General features: G+C 40.5%; 1 annotated feature.

Annotated features, from left to right (window-relative positions):
* Positions 6,554-7,656: an enhancer, noted in NCBI's record as "VISTA enhancer hs297". NCBI's record gives its function as "enhancer in: melanocytes[4/5]" and the evidence as "EXISTENCE:transgenic organism evidence [ECO:0001131][PMID:17130149]".

Below are 20,118 nucleotides of genomic sequence, written 5' to 3'. Positions count from 1 at the left end.
CATAGCACGCAAATTCTACTTACGTAGTTGTATTTGAAAGACAAAGAAAAGCAACCTATACATAGTCAGACATCGGTGATTTTCTGTTGCTGTTGTTAAAGGTAATCTAGTTTTAAAAAAATCAGATTAAAACTCAAACCCAGAAAATAATTGGGAGAAATATGTAAAAATAATTTGAAGAAAAACTTAAATCGTGTTTGAAGACAAGAGAAAGCTTTTTTTTCTGACATGCAAGGGCTAAAAGTGTTTATCATTCACCTATGCTTTCTGAAAAATGTCCTCACAAAAGTATTAATATGAACAGGGGGCAGAGAAGTTCTAGGCAGAAAAGGGCAGGTCCTTGACAAAACCCCACCTTCAAACCGAAAGGCCTGAAACTGCTGCTTAAAGTGAAAACTTCTATCCCTGTTTTCCTGCTTGAATGTTGCCTTTTCCTAAATTACACATAGCCTGCCCCACCCGGCATCCTGTGCCTGTAAAGACCCCAGGCTCAGCCAGCAGAGAGGAGAAACAGCTGGATGACAGGGACTATGGCTGGACATTGGATAGAAGCGGCTTGACTTCAGAGGGACAGCTTGATGGCATAACTCGGGAAAAGAATCCAGCCAGAAACGGCCGGACTCCAGGGGAAGATTACCTACCTCCTGTCTCCTTTTCAGCTCCCCTTCCCACTGACAGCCACTTTCACTGGCAATAAAATTCCCTGCATTTAGCATCCTTCAGTTTATTCGTGCGACTTCTTTTCTCCTGGATGCTGGACAAGAGCTCAGGGGACACAAGTGTGGATACAAAAGGCTGCTACACTGGCCCTTTGCCCTCAATGGCAGAGGGCAGCTGCCTCATGTGAAAGGGCAGAGGGCTCACTGACTGTTCATACTTAAGCCGTCCACGGATGACAGAGCTAAAAGGGCACTGTAACATGCCCTCTGGGGCTTCCAGAGTCGCAGACACCCTGCCTTGACGCTGCGGCAGGGCCTGCATGTAATTTGCTCCTGCCAGCACCCAAAAGCACTTGCTCCAGCTCCTGCATCCACTCACCTGTGCACTCCCTCCCACGGTGGGTGGAACGCAGTAGGTCTGAGTGAGTGGAGTTTGATCCCACTGGCACTGAAGTGGCTGGCCAATTCCAGTGCTTGTGCACTCCAGTTCCCGCTTCATTCGCTCACCTGCTCCCTACCGTGAGGACTTGAGAGCAGCGGGCTGAGTAAATAAGACAACCCTGTCGCTAGTTCTGCAAGGGAGTCAGGGAAATACCCTGGTTCAGTATTTCAGTTCATTGACAAAGGTACCAAAATAAAGAATTTAAATGTATATAAAATGTTGTTTGAAAGAAATGACAATGAGCGATGAAAACCATAAAGTTCAGAGTTAATAGCTAAATAACCACTAACATAATTATAAACAATGCAAATGTCAAGCATTATTCTTGGAAGAAGAGATACAAATTTTATTTCAAGAAATGAATCTGAAAGCCCCAAATTATTTAAACATCAACTGACAATTGGAGATAAAAGGTGACAGTAAAAGCCAGGAAAAGTAGGGGTGGGGAAATTAGCAGAATTGAATTAAATCCTAATGTTAAAAAAAATCCTAATGCTGATAGACAATGACTGATTCAAATATTTTCAGTAAAATTGTAATGACCACTAGAGAACAATAAGAACTCTACAGCCCTTTCAAACCATTGGTGGAAAGAGATGTTAGCAACAAAAATAACAAAGTAAAAATGAAGATTAAAACCAAAATAGGATGATATATAAATACCAAATAATCGAATTGAAAACAATTCAAAATGCCCCATAACATGGGACTAGTTGGATAAATTATAGAATATCAGCACAACTGAATACTCCGTAGCCTTAAAAATGATGTGCATTTTGAAACAATGACACCAGTAAGTGACAAACACATGCACCCACACACATACGCACACACACAACAAACCAGTATGGAGAGGCTGACACCACTTTTGTTGAACAGATACCAGGTGATATTCAAAGTATGTATCACCTGTACAACACTGACTCTAGTCAATCAGAACAAGTCTTAAATAACTGGTAGAGCTGCAGCATCAATGCAAACACCAGGGTGTCAGAGACAGGTCTGTAGAGAGAAGTATGTATGTATGCAGATACTTAGAGCTCTAGATAGAGTTATGGATAAACGTTTAAAAGGGTACAGCCCAAATGTTTATAGTCGTCATCGTTGCATTGTAAGATTAAGGCTAATGTTTATTTTTCTTTTTATAAGGCTTTATTGTGATATAATTGATATATACAAATTGCACATATTTGATGAGTTTGGAGTTTTTATTTTTCTTCATGCTAAAACATGAATACGAAATAATATGTTTTAAAAGGGCATGAATTTTAAACTGCTTTTCCTGAAAACCTAATATATTTCTTCTCATATCCAGTAGCACATGTTTTTAGAAGAGGTGGCCACAGTGCGGATGTACAGAAGACAAGTTCTTAGGATATGTCATCTGGTCATTTTGGACATGGAATATTCAACCTCAACTCACTGGCATCGTCCTTTAACTACAGATGATTGCTGGGAAATGTGAGACCAAAACAAACATAAAACTCAGTATTCTCCTATTTAAAACATTGGTTAGGAAAAATAATCTATTGAAAAATATATTTTTGCTAGAAAAACATGACTCAGATACAAACATCTTACATGTGGCACAGGGTTTTTAATTAATTATCTAAAGAAACAAATTTATATTTTTTTCCACTTCACCTTCACAAAACAGTTAGTAATGACATTTATTTTGGGGTTTTAAATGGAATTGTAAAGATTCGGTTCACCAGGGTTTGAGCCATACTCATTTGTATTTTTAAAATTTGCATCACTGTTCACTTCTATCAGTCTAATTATGATCTAAGGTAATCAGCTCTCTCATACTCTCACATTAAAGAAGTAATCAGCGAAGCTCCCCCTTTTGGACTCTGCAGAGCACAGCCGTATGCCCCGCAGAGTGGAGGAAAAGGAAATCTCCCATGCACATAAACCCACAGAAGGTCCTCACAGGCTCTTCCCAGTGCTGTTCCTAGACCAGCAGCCTGGAGGATTCAAGTGAAGAAATGTTAGTCATCCAGCACAAACCATGGAACACTGGAAAGATGTTTACTTTGTTTTATCTTTGAGAAAATAATCTCCAAATTATGTTCATATCAAAATATAAAATAGAAGTAAGCTTCACTGAGAAAGATGGGGGCAGGGGCATGGAAAACACTCTTTGATCTTTGATCCACAGGCACTTATTGAGCACACGTGACCTGGCAGCACTGTCTTTGCAAACAAGGTATATACCAAGGAATATATCACTTACAGTTTATTAGCATACACTGAAATATAATGAGAAAGAAAAGGCATTTCAGAGAGATGAGTTTGGCTTTAGGTAAGTTGTGCTGGAAATGAACACAGATCATGTAAGAATGGCTTTCAAAAGTTCAGTAGGTGACCGCAAACATGGTGCTAAAACACCCAGTGGCCAGTTACCTTGAAGTAGTCAGTGGCTGTTGAAACTTTGGGGGAGACTGGACTCAGGAAGGAAAGTTTAAGGAGAGTAGAGAAAGAAGATGAAATAAGAGCCCTGGAATCAACTCCTGCATAGAGTGGAAAGAAGAAACAGAAGGGAGCCTCCTAGCTGGTCACACAATGGCAGTATTATCCAGAGAGGGAGTGAGGATTTGGGCACACTCTAGGCTAACCAAGTACTTAGCTCAGCCTGTCAGCCACCTTCTCAGCTGGAAGCTCTCCTGCTCTTGGACCTTGGTTCCACCTCTCACTTTTGTGCCCCACAATCCAGCTGGCCATTTGCTCTGGTTACTGCATGTTCCCTTTTCCCCAACCCTGGTTCTCTTGCCCTTATTGTCTCCTTCAGTTTAATTCCTTGGTTTGTCTTCTCACTTTCCATCATCCACGCCTCTTTCTTTTTCCTATTCTGCACTTTGGGCACTTGATTAATTTGGGGGAATGAAGTTAATCGTTGTTCCTATTGTTAAATGTGTTATATACGTGGACAGTTCTGAAACTTCAGAAAACTTCAAAGACACTTGAGGAATATTCCTATGCACAAAGAAGGAAAAGCATAATGGTTCTTATTGATGACTAATATTTGTAAAGCCCTATACACAGTGCTTTCACAATGGTGATTTCCTTTTACCCTCAAAATAATTATACACAGTGGTGAAAATGAGAACAATAATGAAAATGCTGAAGACAGTAACACATGACAATGCTAAGGATTCTTCATGAATGATCTCATTTATTCCTCACAACCTCCCTATGAGGACTGCAGCATTATTATCCCCACTTTGTAGATAAGAACACTAAGGAACCAAGATTTAGAGAACTTGCCCAAGCAAGGGTGTCGGGAGGAGGCACGGTCATGGTAAGTGAGTGAATTGGTATGTCCTCTATGGAGGGGAGGTTTGCAATGTTTCAGAATTTAATATATGTATCCTTTGATCCAGCAATTTTATTTCTAGGTATCTGTCCTATGGGTCTACCTCCACATGGACAAAATGTTGTATGTACAGAGACGTTATCTGCAGCATTATTTATAGCAGCAGAAAATTGAAAGCAATGTAAAATGTCCGCCAATTGGTGGCTGATACAAATACATTCCTATGTTCTCATACAATGGAAAACAGGCGGGCTTAACAGCATCAAAATAGCTCTGCATGTACTGATACATTAAGGTTAAAAAAGTTAGATTCAGAATAGAATTATGGTACACTATGATTTGTGTGTTGGGGAATATATATTATTTAGAAATACAGTGTCTACCTCTGGAAGGTTACAAAGAAGTTAGTTGTTGCCATTGGGGAAGAGAACAGAGAGGGCAGGGGTCAGGGAAGGAGACTCGCTTTTTTTTTTTTTTGAGACAGAGTCTCACTCTGTCGCCAGGCTGGAGTGCAGTGGTGCGATCTCAGCTTACCGCAACCTCCACCTCCCGGGTTCAAGTGATTCTCCTGTCTCAGCCTCCTGAGTAGCTGGGATTACAGGCACCCACCATCATGCCTGGTTAATTTTTTAAATATTTATTAGAGATGGGGTTTCACCATGTTGGTCAGGCTGGTCTAGAACTTCTGACCTCGTGATCCGCCCACCTTGGCCTCCCAAAGTGCTGAAATTACAGGCATGAGCCACCGCACCCGGCCGAGACTCGCTTTTTATTGGATACCTTATATGCTTTTTGAATTTTGTACCATGTACATGTGTCCTACATTCTAATCTTTTAAAAAGTTAGAAAGTAAATACTTTTTCATAAATAATAAAAAATGAAGACCTAAAGCCATGAAGAGAGCAGTTGCGGGGTGAGAAACCAGTGCTGAGCTGCCTGGCTGCAGAGCCCTGTCTCCACCACACCATTCTTGATACACTCATTCCTCTTGCTTTTACAGATAAGGAAACTGACTTGAGGAGGTTAAATAATTTGCTCAAAATCACAAAACCAGGAGAGGGGCAAGCCGGAGATTGAGGGCAAGTTGCCCAGCTGTAAGGATAGCAGTTTCCTCTTATTGCTCAAACATCACATGCCCCAATAGTAAGGCAAGACCACGAGGAAGTGAAGTAGACGTTTCTTTTAGAGAAAAGGAAAGTGAAGGAGGGAAATGAAGAGACATTTAACATGTGAGGATTTAAATCTGAACCACCACATTCTCACTCCTCTCATCTCCTAAACTTTTTTGTTTGTTTCTTTTGTTTTAGGGACAAGCTCTCCCTCTATCACCTAGGCTGGAGTGAAGTGGCACCATCATAGCTCACTGTAACTCCTAACTCCTGAGCTCCATCTATCATCCCACCTCAGCCTCCCAAATAGTGGGGACTACAGGCATGTTGCCACCACACCTGGCTATTTCTTAACTTTTATATAGCAATGGGGTCTCACTGTGTTGCCCAGGCTGGTCTCGAACCCCTGGGCTTGAGTGATCCTCCCACCATGGCCTCCCAAAGTGCTGGGATTACAGGTTTGAGTCATTGTGTCTGGCCATCACCTCGTAATCTTGACACCTACCCAACAATAAAGGCAATACTGGACACGAGTATCAGTTATTGTCACTATAACTAGACGAGATTTTTGAAGGCTGCAGCCATTCACTCTTTCATTCATATATTCATCCATTCATTGTGGAATATTCTATCTGGGCAAAGAGCTAGGAACACAGAAGTAAACGAGACTTAGCATCTTATCCTCAGAAAATCCACAGTCTAATTGGGAGAAATGTTTCTCACACATCACATGCATGTCACACCATCCCCCACGGTGGGCAGCTGGGAACATAGTAAGTCTCCAACAAGAATTTATGGAATAAATAAATCTGAGTATGCATCACTGCTAGCTATTGTGAAAGACTGTTTCCTCCCTCTTATACCAGCAACTCCTCACCTCTCTGTTTCCAACCCCCTCCTACCATTACACACCCCTTCAATGCATCCCAAACATGATAAAAACTTTTACTCCAAGGTCATGAAGAGCAAGATGATAACTGTAACTTAAAACAATAACAACAGCAACAAGGAACCCTGAAAACATTTGTTCCCAAGCTATCGTGTTCCAGCAAAGAAATTTGATTCCCTCTCTATATTCTCATTTTATTTATAAGTGTTTTGCTGCAAAGTGGGTGAACTGCCGAGCTCCACGTCACAGCCTGCAGCACAGCAGACTGGCTTTTTCTAAAGCTCATAATGTGATAATTAAATTGCTAACAGGCACCTTAGTGATGGCATTTGCAGAAGATGTGAAAGCCCTCGCAGAATTGCACCTTTCTGTAGAGGACTCGTCAGTGGAAGCACAGTGATCAGCTCATGCTTTCCTCTTTTTTAATATACTTTCTTCCATGAGTACATTAAATTTTTATGTGGAGTGAAATGGGACAGGACTTGTTTCCCTTCCACTGCACAATGATTTATTACCCAAAAAAGACCGCAGAACTAATTAGCAGAGTAATTAATTAATATAAATTTGCATATTTGCATTTGCAATTAGTGCAGCCGACTGATTAGTCTGAAAATGAGAAGTTTGACTCATTAGATGTTAGTGTCTGCTGGACCAGAAAGCGGCTGCCAGATGAGGCGGAAAAGGGTGGAATAAGCATGTGTGTTTCTTTTGTTAGAAGAATGGAGAATATGCTCAAATATCTGGGGCCAGACATCAGGGTTTGCAATTTAAAAAAAATAATAAATTATTTGCTTCCATTTCTGCTACTCAATGTTCCTTGCCCTTTTGCCTACAGCAAGTTATTCCAACCAACCCTGGAAGCCATTGCACCCCTGAGAGCAGGCTCCTCCTATTCCCTAAAGGCAGAGGGGTCTCTGTTGTTTGTGGACGAGCAGAAAATCTGTCCTGGTTTGATGTCCCAGGAATTTGACTCCTGCACCCAATTCAGTGGTTCTGTCAAAACAGTTCTCTAGTGCTGATGAGGACCCTCAGGGGACTCTCATGAGTAGACTACCTTCCCTTCAGGGGCTTCTCCTGATTGCAGTCTCTTTGTTCCTCCAGCTGATTACTGAGCTCAAATCTCTCATATCCAGTTGACTGAGTGAATCCCTTTCTGCAGAATGACACAGGGCAGATAAACTATAAATATACACACAGACATGCAGATACACAGACATCAAATAACAAACATCCAGCACCCATAGTAAAATGAGGGATTTGCTCAAAAATGTTCAAGGAGGTTGGGGGAAAATGAGAAATGGTTTCTTGATTTGACTTCACTGGATCTATTTTCAAGTTAAGAATTCACATCAAATTAGGAGAGAGTCTGACTTAGTATGAATGCTTTCTTTAGTAATAAGGAATATGTTTAGTCTAAAGTCAGTTCCAAAGAGAAATAAAATTATTATCATTTGTTCTCTTAACATTCTTTCTAAAAATGAAATTAATTGTATTACTTTCCTTGATGTTTATATACCCTTTATAGATGCCAAAAGAAAATTTCGAAAATATGTCATATTGACTCAATGCAATAGATTCTTTGCAGATGAAAAATTACCACTGAAGTTTGTTAATTTATAAAATAACTCTCTAAAGTATGAAATTAGATATGTTGTGGATCACTTCATTTCTTCAGGATCTGGAGAGATTTTAGAAAGAACATAAACACGCCCTTCTCTTAACAACTTCGGAGTTGTGGCATCTCTTCCTTTGCATTATATTGCCCAGGTCCAAATGACATGAAACGCCTCGCATCGCACTAAACCCTAAGCTAGGGACTCTGCACTGTATATTCCAAGAGGTACCATCCCATAGTTGTCCTACCTGTCCTTCAAACTTCACCCTGACCTCACCTCTCTTACTGACCACAGAGCAAGTTCCTTCCTCCATCCTTTGACCTCCCAGGCACCTTGTTCTTGACCCTGACACACTGCTTGCCAGGAAGTCTTACAGCCATTTCTGGAGATTTTTACTTCACTTCTTAGACTGAAAACTTTTTGGACATAGCTATCTTATATTTGCATCTTTGTATCCCATAGCCTAGCACACTACCTGGTACATAGTAGATGATAAATAATGCTTGTTGAATTACTGCATGAATGAATTAAAAAAGGGATTTATGGTTTGATTAGAGAATAAATTCATCTAGGGAGTTGCCTACAAGAAAAAAAAAGCAACTACAAAACACACACGAGGAAATGTGTAACTCAAAATGAGTTGAGTAAAATGAGAGAAAACTAAAATGACCAGTGGATCAGTGTAGTCCCCAGTTTGAACTCTTACTTGGGATTAGGTTTAGGGTTAGGATTAGGGAACCATAGAGTTCATTTGTTTTGGATTTTTTCCTCTCTCAGTGCTTTGCATAAGAAGAGTTCCTGGTGTTTAACAATTGCTCAATCAATGTTAAAATTTTAATTCCTTATCATTTTACGAGAAACACTTATTATTCACAAATTTTTTTTGAGATGGAAGTCTCGCTCTGTCTCCCGGGCTGGAGTGCAGTGGCGCAATCTCCGCTCACTGCAACCTCCGCCTACCAGGTTCACGCCATTCTCCTGCCTCAGCCTCCAGGGTAGCTGTGACTACAGGCGCTAATTTTTTTTTTTTTTTTTTTTTTTTTTTGTATTTTTAGTAGAGATGGGGTTTCACCGTGTTAGCCAGGATGGTCTCGATATCCTGACCTCGTGATCCGCCCGACTCAGTCTCCCAAAGTGCTGGGATTACAGGCGTGAGCCACCGCGCCCGGCCTGCCTGAATGTAATTTTTAACCATAACTTAAAGCTTTCATTTAACTAACAGCCCTGAAAGAATTGGAACTGGTGAGCAGGATTAAAAACCAAGGTAAAAAAAATTAGTGGGAAGGCACAATGCTTAATGTGATACTGGAACCCACATTCAAAGGACACAAGTCTTTATTTTGGTTCTTTATCAAATATTATTTTGTTTAATTTTTCTACTATCATTAATGCAGTCTTCCTAAGTGAACCCTAATCATGTTCTCCTGTGCCTAGGCACGCATCTAGCATAGCACCTACAATGCAGTAGCATTTGATTAAGGTAAAATCAATTTTGATAAGACTACCTGGAACTTCACTGAAATGTTACTTCAATCTAGTATCCTTGATATTAATGTCACCACGTTTCGTTAAAACACACCCCCCCCCAAAACACACACACACACACACACACACACACACACACACACACACACACTTGGGGAAGATTCTGGGTTATAAACCCTTTTTCCTTCCTGCAAGTTTTTGTCCACACATCATACTACACTGGTAATCGCTGAGTCATTTATGTATTTGTTGCTCTGTCTGTCTGTTTTAAATTTACCTCCAAGAAGATCTAAGGTAGCAATTGAACTGAACATTTTTATATCCTTTGTAAAGCAATTCACCATCTAAAAAGATAGATTTCTTATTTTCTAACTATGCCATAATACATATGATGAAATATATGTTTATATTTGTTTTCTATAAACTGCATGGTTTATTTTCTGGAAAATTATCAGATATACTGAGAAGATACCAGCAAGGATAGTAGATGGTAATACCTTCTGTCTTTATCACTGGAATAGAGGAAAAATAAAGTCAGAACTCAGAGGATGCACGGTAAGAATAGTTGTAATTGTCCATTCCATATTTGCTTGTTGAGGAAATGAAGAAGGATTTTTATATTCCTCTGAAAACAAATTAGGACTTGTTTATCCATTTAATCATCTCCAAATGAGACATGAAAATATAAAGACTTTCACACCTGCAAGCCCCAATATGAAGATTTGGTGCAAAGACTTCGTTGTTGTTTCTAATTTCTTATTCAGACAGTGGCCAGAAATAAAAGAGGTTTAGTTGTGTGGATTGCTCCTTATACTTGGGAAGTAATAAGTCAAAGGTGACACACAGCTCTGGAAACAGCAGAAATTTTTTTGCACCCTGGTAACTTAAACACTTTTTTTTTTTTTTTTTGAGACGGAGTTTTGCTCTTGTCACCTAGGCTGGAGTGCAATGGCGTGATCTTGGCTCACTGCAACCTCCACCTCCTGGGTTCAAGTGATTCTCCTGCCTCAGCCTCCCGAGTGGCTGAGATTACAGGCAATCGCCACCACACCTGGCTAATTTTTGTACTTTTAGTAGAGACGGGGTTTCACCATGTTGGCCAGACTGGTCTCGATCTCCTGACCTCGTGATCCACCCACATCACCCACCTCAGCCTCCCAAAGTGCTGGGATTACAGGTGTGAGCCATCACACCTGGCCTTTTTTTTTTTTTTTTTTTTTTTTTTTTAGAATCATTCCAGATCATTAGTCTATTTGGTGGGCTATTTTAGCAAAACACATTTCAGACTTTTTAACATTTTTTGAAAACGGAGGCACTTATGCCCCTTGCAGCACCCAAGTCTTCGACAACTGCACCATCTCTGTGGTTTATGCGTCCCTAGAATACTCACTGTCAGGCAGGATCCTTCTGACCACAGACCTTTAACATTTAAAATAGTATTTTGTGAATTCATCCTCTCTATCTTTCACAAACTCTAAGGTTTAATAGCGATTAACACTAGACCACAGCACTTTCAAATTAACGATAGCCCTGCCAGTTCTAATTGGTATTCTAATTAGCCCAACCGATTCAACTAATTAAGAACATTAAACTTTTTAACAAAGGCTATCTTGCTTTGTGTGTTGTAAAATGGAATTTAAGAAGGGTGGAAAGGGGTAGAGATGACTGGAGGAAGGGGGGTAAGAGCAAGCCTGGATTTCCATTGCAGACCTAGAGGAGCAGCTGTTTGGAGAGCAAGTGCAGCCTCCAGGAAGAGCCGAGGGAACGGGCTGATGCCCTGCTTTCATGGGGTGAAGGGTCACAGCAGCTTTTGCATTCCAGAAAGGCAAAAACAAGTTAATGCTGCAATGCCACCCTATGGTCCCTAGGCCTGCTGAGACTTCTGATAAGTGGCATTAAAGGACAAGCCATCCCTGTGTTCGTTCACAGTGAACTGGAACCATAAGCCATCCAGCTTTATGTACAGTGTGACCTTTGTTACAATGAAGCAGCTTGGAGCTGCATAACTAAATCTCTCTGCAATTTCAAAATGTGTTTAATTGAAGATCTCCTACTTTCAAAAGAACTCTGTGCGCTGGTAACTTGGCAATGGATCAGAAAGAGCAAAGCGGGCTACACTAGGGGCCAGCTGGGTTTACAGAAAACCAGAAATGTGGTATCATCCCGGCTTCTCTCTTCTGCTCTCACATCCCATATCCAATCCGTCAGTACAACCTGTGGGTTCTTCCTTCAAAATATATCCCAATTCTGGCTACTTCTCTCACTTTTTATTTGGAAGCCTTCTTGTCCAAGCCGCCAGGGCCAAAATTTAATGAGGTGCTCACTGGCAGGATTGTACAGCAGCACTTGCATGATCCTAGGGGTGAGTGCCTCCCTAAATCTAGGACCCCAGGTGCCTCACTTGCTTCATCTCCATCGTGGCCCTGCAGGCACCATCATGGTCCACCTGCAATAACTTCACGACTGCCCTCAACTTTGTTTCATCTCTGGTAAGCCTATTCCCCATAGAGCAGCAGCCACGGTGAGCCGGCTGAAAGTCCTCCAGTGACTGGCCACCCACTTGGGAGAAAGTTTGAGATCCTCACTGTTGCTGACCACGCCCTATAGGATCTTCAACTTGATACCTCTTTGGCAATGTGTCATATTCCTCTGTAACTTGGTTACTGCACTCCAGGCAAGAGGGTTTCCAGGGCTGAACCAAGGTGGGGATCTGCATTGTCTAGAGAGGATTTCAAAGCATTTTAAGTGGATTTCAAAAGAACTCTGTGCTCTGGCAACTTGGTGGATATAGTCTACCTGCTTTTTATAATCACTGTTTTCTAGCAATTCTAAATGAAGACAGTGATCAAATATTCCTCCTGGCAAACAAAAAACAAAAAAAAACAACAACAACGAAAACTTTTTGTTGATCTAAGTCTGTGCTGTCCAATATAGTTGCTATTGAACACTTAAAATATGGTTAGAGTTATTGAGAAACTGAATTTTAAATTTTATTTCATTTTAATTAACTTACATTTAAAAACCGATACTTGATTGAACAACTGGAAAACTTTCAGAATGTTTTCTAACACCTTGTGTATGTTAATCTATTTTTCAACCATAAATTTTGTGAAATCTGAAAACAAATCAAGTATTTCAGATGAAAATTTGTCATACAAATGGAAATGTGCTATAATGTAAAATATATACCATATTCGGAAGACTTGGAACAAAAAATAAAGAATGTAAAATACTGTAATAAATTTTTATATTGAATATATGTTGAAATGATGATAGTTTGGTTGCATTGGAGTAGTCAGCCAAACACATTATTAAAATCAGTTTTACCTTTTTGTGTTTCTTTTAACTATAGATAACAGAAAATTTTAAATTACATTTCCATTTGAAGGTGCTGGTCTAAATTCTAAACCAGGGTATGCAAATTACTGCCCATAGACAAAATTCAGTTCACCACCTGTTTTTCTATAGGCCGACAACTAAGAATGGTTTTATCTTTTTTAATGGTTGAAAAAAATAAAAAGAAGAACAGTATTTTGTGATGTAAAAACTGTATGAAATTCAAATTTTACAGTCTATAAAGTTTTATTGGAATACAGCCAGTCTCATTTGTGTCTATATTGTCTATGGCTCCTTTCACATTGCAACGGCAGAAGAGACCTTACCACCTACGAAACCTTTAAATATTTACTATGTGGCCTTCAACAGAAAAAGTTAATCCACCTCTGTTCCAAAGAATTGATTCCAGCTGGGTGTGGTGGCTCACACCTATAATCCAGGACTTTGGGAGGCTGAGGTGGGAGGTTTGCTTAAGCCCAGGAGTTCAAGGCTGCAGTGAGCTATGATCATGCCTGCCATTGTACTCCAGCCTGGGTGACCGAGTGAGACCTTGTCTCAAAAAAAAAAAAAAAGAATTGATTTTGCTGTTGCTGTTGAGTTTTAATATATTGTTCTAAAGGGAAGTAAATTCAGAGAACTCCTAGTTGCATAGTTGGCCCCTGACACACACAGATGGAGGTACATGCCAGGCAAAAGGATACAAATTTCTAAAAGGCACAGATACTTCTAGTAAGCACTAAAATGAATACCTTCCCTCATCGTGTCCCTGCCCCCTAAAAAAGCCTCCTAAAGGGCTTGTCACAGTCCAGGAGAGATACCGATAAGCAAGTAGCTACAACTCCTCATCACAAGTGTAGCAATCACGTGTTTCTAGGGGACATTTAACAGAGTCTGGGGCAAGGTCTTGGTGAACGCACCTTCAGACTGACTCGGGTATTAATGAGAGAGGCCACTTTTGCAATGCAATCATTGCTCATCTCCAGTTCTGAAATTGCTAACATATTGTGTCAGTACTTCTTAGTAGTAAATGACGAAACTCAAACCAGAATTTTTTTAAGTGATTTTATTTCTCCTACAACTAAAAGTCTGACATAGACCTTGCTTCAACCATGGCTTGATCCTGATGCTCAGGAATGCCATCAGGACCCTCCGTACATTCTTCTCAGTAAGCCCACCTTCAGGAGTGGCCGAGATGCCACCTGCAGCTCCAGGCTGATGTCCTTCCTGCTCAGCAACCTCAGAGAAAAGGAGGCCCCTTTCCCAGTAGTGCCATCAAAAGCCTGGGGCCAACTTTCGTGGGGCTCACTAGGGATCCAGGCTGATTCCCAACCAATGGCTTCATCCAGAGGATGGAATTTGTTGACTGGCCAAGGCTGGGCCCTGTGTCTAACCTATTAGCAAGGGACTTAGCCCCACAGAAGGCATGTGGGCTAAAAGTACAAGAGGGCTCACCTGCTAAAGAAAAGAGCATTTTCCTCCAAATAGGAAGAAATGGACCCTTGGCGTGCAGAAACAGCCACCACAAGTAAGCAAAATTCAAAGCAATAAACCAACAGTAGTCTAAAAACAAGAAAAAAATTGAAGCTGTGATTTGTTCAATAAGACCAGCCTCTTTTACATCACTCAGAAGTTATAATTAATCAGATAACTGTTTATTAATATTAAGAAAGGAGAAGACACCCAGAAGATAAATTAGCAGATAAAATATGTTAGGCCGCCACTTTTTTTTTTTTTTTTTGGAATTTTTCTTTGAAACAAACACTCATGAAAAACAAGTGTCATTCTAATGAGAGAATAATCGATTAGTCTTACTTTTTTCACTTCTATGTGAAGTCTTCAAGAATGGTTCCAGATTTTGCACTAGCTTTTCTCTGGGTGAGTTGTAAAACATAAATGAAGGAAATGTTTCCCTTTTAAACATATTTTTTAGAGTAAATAATGATAGAACATAACTTTTTTATTATCTTCCACTGGGCTAAGACAAAGATGAAGTGAGTGTGTCACCCACCCTGGCACATAGGGGCATCTGTTATAAACAGACTGTTTGTGTCCTGCCCCCAGTTCATATATTGAAGCTTGACCCCACAATGTGATGGTATTTGGAGATTTTTGGGAGTTTTGGGGAGGTAATAAGGGTCAGATTTGGTCGTAAGGGTAAGGCACTTGTGGAATGGGGCCTTCTTAGTGGCCTTATAAGAAGAAGTAGAATATCTTCCTCTCTTTCCCCCTCTCCCTACACATGCTCAGAGTCAAGGCCATGTGAGATTGGGCAGCAAGAAGGAGGGAGCCAACCATCTGAAAGCCAGGAAGAGAGCTCTCCTCAGAAACCTAACTGAATGGCACCTTGAACTTGGACTTCCCAGCCTCCAGAACTTTGAGAAGTAAATTTTTGTTGTTTGAGTCATCCAGTCTGTGATGTTTAGTTATGGCATCCCAAGCAGAAAAAAGCACCAAAATCAAAATAAATATTTAATACAATGTTTTTAATACAAAAATTCACAATGAACAAAATATCAAAAGTGTCTTTGTTCCCTGGGGCCCAGTCTCATGCCCTTGCTTCCTCTTACAAACTCTTGGTATATGAAGATAGTGCTGGTGATTAGCCTCTGAAAACTCTTCTTGGGGTATTCTGGGCAAGGGCTCTCTCAGCTTCTTGGCACCGAAGATGGCAATGCAGTGGGCTGGCTTCGCAGGCTGTGACCTGTGCCTTTGAACAGGGCGTGACTGTGACCTGTGCCTTTGAACAGGGCCTGGCTGTGACCTGTGCCTTTGAACCAGGGCCCACATTTTGTTTAATGCTCTGCTGTTTCCATCTTGAAATTCTTAATCATTTTTGAACAAGGGGCCCCATATTTTTGTTTTGGGCCCCCAAAATTACATACTGGCCCTATACACCAGTTCTGGATGCCCTTCATTCAACGAGAAGGTAAAATAAAGACCCCACACTGTAAACTCCAGTTCTAACTAAACCTACTCTAGTTACAAAGGGAGACTGTAAAATACTCTCAGATAAAAAAGAAATCTGGATTCAACCTGCTGTGTATGAACCACCTTAGAAGCCACTCAGCACAAAAGAGGAGAGGAAAGTAAAGTAAATCAGTAAGGCAGTTCAAAATACTCATTGAACTCATCACAAATAAAGACAGATGGACCACTGGCAGAATAGGAAGTGTGTTCTGTCAAAAATTTCAGTCCTGTGAGAAACTTCGGAAAGAAAGGAAACCACTCAGTGGTCAAATAAATTGGGGACCCACTTCTATCATATCCTGCTCTTGGATCTCCTGATGTGCATTGGCAAATGGGAGAATCCAAGAGAACCTGCATTAAAGAAAATACATGGCCGGGCATGTTGGCTTGCCCCAGTAATCCCAGCACTTTGGGAGGCTGAGGCGGGCAGATCACGAGGTCAGGAGATGGAGACTATCCTGGCCAACATGGTGAAACCTCGTCTCTACTAAAAATACAAAAATTGGCCAGGTGTGGTGGCGCAGGCCTGTAGTCCTAGCTACTCAGGAGGCTGAGGCAGTACAATCACTTGAAACCAGGAGGCAGAGGCTACAGTGAGCCAAGATCATGCCACTGTACTCCAGCCTGGGTGACAGTGCGAGACTCTGTCTCAAAAAAGAAGAAAAAACATCCACATTTTTAATCACACGACTCTTTTTCTAAAATGTGATTCCTAATAGTCTACAGAGCATTCTTTAAGAAACACTTGATTAGTGCCTAGCATATTCATCATAAAGTGTATTTTATGAGGAAGAAAGACTTTGGGTTCCAAGAATAAAGGAAGCATGTAGAGTTGCCAGGTGAAATACAGGATGCCCCGTTAAGTTTGAATTTCAGATAAACAGCAAGTACTTTCTAGTATAAGTTTGCCCCACCTATAAGTATGCCTGAAATTCAAATTCCACTGGGTAGCCTGCATTTTTATTTGCTGAATCTGGCAACCTTAATAGTATACCCATTCTGCCATGTCCCTGAATCATCTGTATATTTCATATGGAGAGTGAGAAGCTTATGAAAACTAGAGTTGGAAAAAGCAGAAGAGGCAGACACTTCCACAAATAATTCTGAAGGCCCTTGCAGGTAGCAGGTAACCCTTACACCACAGAGATTCTCAACCAGGTGGAGCTTTTAAAATGCTGTTGGTCAGACCCAATCTCTAAGGACAGGGTGGACTTATCCATTAGGCATAGCACACACAGTGCCAAGGGCCCATAATATTTTAACTGGCCCACGAGAAAAAAATCAGAATAAAAAATGAATATAACTCAGCCTGGATTATGTCTTCATACTAACATAATCATAAAATATATTTATTTTTAATTTTTATGGAGGAAGGGGCCTGTATTAATTTGTTTTCACACTGCTGTAAAGATACTACCCAAGAGTGGGTAATTTATAAACAAAGGAGGTTTAATTGACTCACAGTTCCACATGGCCAGGAGGCCTCAGGAAACTTACAATCACGGTGGAAGGGGAAGTAGGCATGTCTTACATGGCAGCAGGCAAGAGAGAGTGAAGGGGGAAGAGCCCTTTAAAACAACCTCAGATCTCGTGAGAACTCACTCACTATCATGAGAACAGCATGGGGGAAACCACCTCCATGATTCAATCACCTCTTACCAGGTCTCTCCCTCAACACCTGGGGATTACAATTTGAGATGAGATTTGAGTGGGGACATAAAGCCAAACCATACCAGAACCCAAAAAATCAAAGTGCCTAGAGCCCACAGAAGTTATAATTCCACACTGCCCAGAGATTTGGATTTAAAGGACACATCACCTCATGTGCACAATTTTCACTTTTTGTTTAGTTATGACTGGAATTTCCACGGAAAAAATAAAAATAAGTCTGGTCTCCTGAGGAAATATTAAAAACCAAGCACTCAAAAAGGCCGTAACTTGATTTGTTCTTTCTAATTGTAGAAAAATTATTCTCCTAGATTGGAATGTTCATTTTATAAAAATTCCCAAGGGGCTAGTATATGTTTTTACTGCCATCACCACTGAAAATGTCTAGGGTCATTTCAGACATAAAAGAGGCAGGCTCCTATGGCTCATACCCCACTGCTTCAGCAGTAGGTCTGCATGTGTCTAAATGCTCTTCAAGCACAGGATCACGTTCTGTTCATTGACCATGCCAGGCATTTGATAATTGTGGTTAGTTAGTTACATGCTGGTTTTAGGTGTCCTGTCTGGCCTTTAATCCCAAATGCATAACATATTTACTTATTTCGATTTCACTTTCTTCACTAATTCTCTTTCAGACTCCTCCCAACATGGATCATTTGGAAGTGAGGTGCTAATCTGGAAGGATTTTTGCTTTGGAGAACAGAAAAATGTTGTCAATATCATGTGTTTCCCATTCCTTATCAGTCCACCAAATATATGTGCTGCCTCAGCAGCTGAGGAACGAGCAGGGTCAAATAGGGCAGGATGAAGAACTGCCCCTCTGTTCTCTTCGATGTCCAACACCTTTCAACAGAAAGCAGCGGTGCAACTAATTGAGCCGGTGTAATGTAAGTTAGCTTCACCACCAACAAGCCAAACCCACATCTTGCCAGTGGTAGAAAGCCCAGCCTGGGAATGCTTGAACTCTGAATCAAAAGAACAATGATATAATGATATATTTCCTCCAGAAAAGGACACTGGCTAATAACAGAATCGAAAGCCATGTGCCACTATATTAGACTGGATCTTGTACCAGTATTGGCGGCCAAAATGCAAACTGCTCAGTGAAAAAGTTATTCTAGACTTTGAAAGAAATAATTAGCACTGGACAGCCTTGCTCCTTTGAAAAAGCCAGGAGAGAGTATGCTGGGGTCAACCTTCACATGCAGACTGTATAAAATTATGGATCATTATTGCTACTATATAGCCTCTTGCTTTCCGAAGGATTTTTTACTGCTGAAGGAATTACATAATCTACAATCTAGCTTATGGTATGTGGGACACAAAGCCTTTTGTCACTGACTTTTATTTCATTGCTTAGCCATGGTGTTAATGAGGCAAAGATCACAGCTTTTATTGACAGATGGGCCTCATTGCTCTGAGGTATTCTTCAGCCAAATCTGCTGCAACTGTAATTGATCAATTGATTCTACCATCAATATTTATTGAGTCCCTACTATGTGCAAATCAGTGTGTTATGTGATGCAGGTACTGCAAAGCCAAATGAAACAAACAGAAATCCGAGATCATTTTTGTCCTCACAGTCTAGTAGGGGAGACAGATGCAGTCACAAATAGCTATACTACAAAGCAAATTACACTAAGCACAATAATAGAAGCACAAAGTGTAGTGGGAAATCAGAGGAGAAAGATTAATTCCAACCCATGAGGATGTGAATGGATCACCACAAATTTATCACCACCCTGGGAATAACAACTTACCACATATGTTATAATAACAGTGGGTTAGGATTGCTATTTTAAAACACAAATGAAAAATATATTGTAATTAGATGAAATTTGACAACAAAACAGAGCCAACCAACCAGACGTCTAAAATACTAAAAGACAAATAATGATTTGAGCTTTTTCATTTTCCTTAGGATTCACTAGCTGTTTATTCCTGTAAGGTGTGAACCATGAAATTTTTTTTAATGTGTTCTAGGGGTTATAAGACCTAACTGCATATGTTACATCCCAGGACAAATAAGTGCATTCCCTTGGTGGTGATTAGCTCCTGCCTTTTTCCATTTGAATCTGTGGCTTTAGCAAGGTCAGCTGTTCAACCTAAAGCTTTAGTTTCCAAACTCACCTTGCCAGCTTCTGTCTGCAAGCGTGTAAACATCAGGACTGAAAATGCTTTCTGTGTGTCTTCTTGGTGTGCAATGTACTCCTTCCATCAAAGCCACCAAGAGATTTGAAAGTAGGTAGAGACAAAGAGCAAAGGCTGCAAGGCTTATGTAGGAAAGAATTGGAGTATGCACAGCCAAGAAGTTCAAGTCACTGAAAGATTTGTAGTCTGGCTCAAGCTTCACTAAGAAGTTATTTGTCCTTAAAACATTGCCATATTTCCTAGTCCAAGGTGCTGAAATTGCAAGCAGAGGTCTAGATAATACCTTCAGAATAATTGATTTCATTGACAATATAATACATGTTCTCCACCTACACCCTGAACGCTTGAATGACCAACCACAGGACATTGCCACAGACATTGCCTTTTCTTCACAAAGAGTTGAGAAATCATTTCACATAAATGCCTTATACTCAACTCTCCCACCCTTCCTCAATTTTTATTTTAAATTAATCTGTCAAA

Source organism: Homo sapiens, chromosome 7, assembly GCF_000001405.40.
Source record: "Homo sapiens chromosome 7, GRCh38.p14 Primary Assembly".
Lineage (NCBI taxonomy): Eukaryota > Metazoa > Chordata > Mammalia > Primates > Hominidae > Homo > Homo sapiens.
Note: the sequence above shows the minus strand (reverse complement) of the source record. Positions and strands in the feature narration are given on the sequence as shown.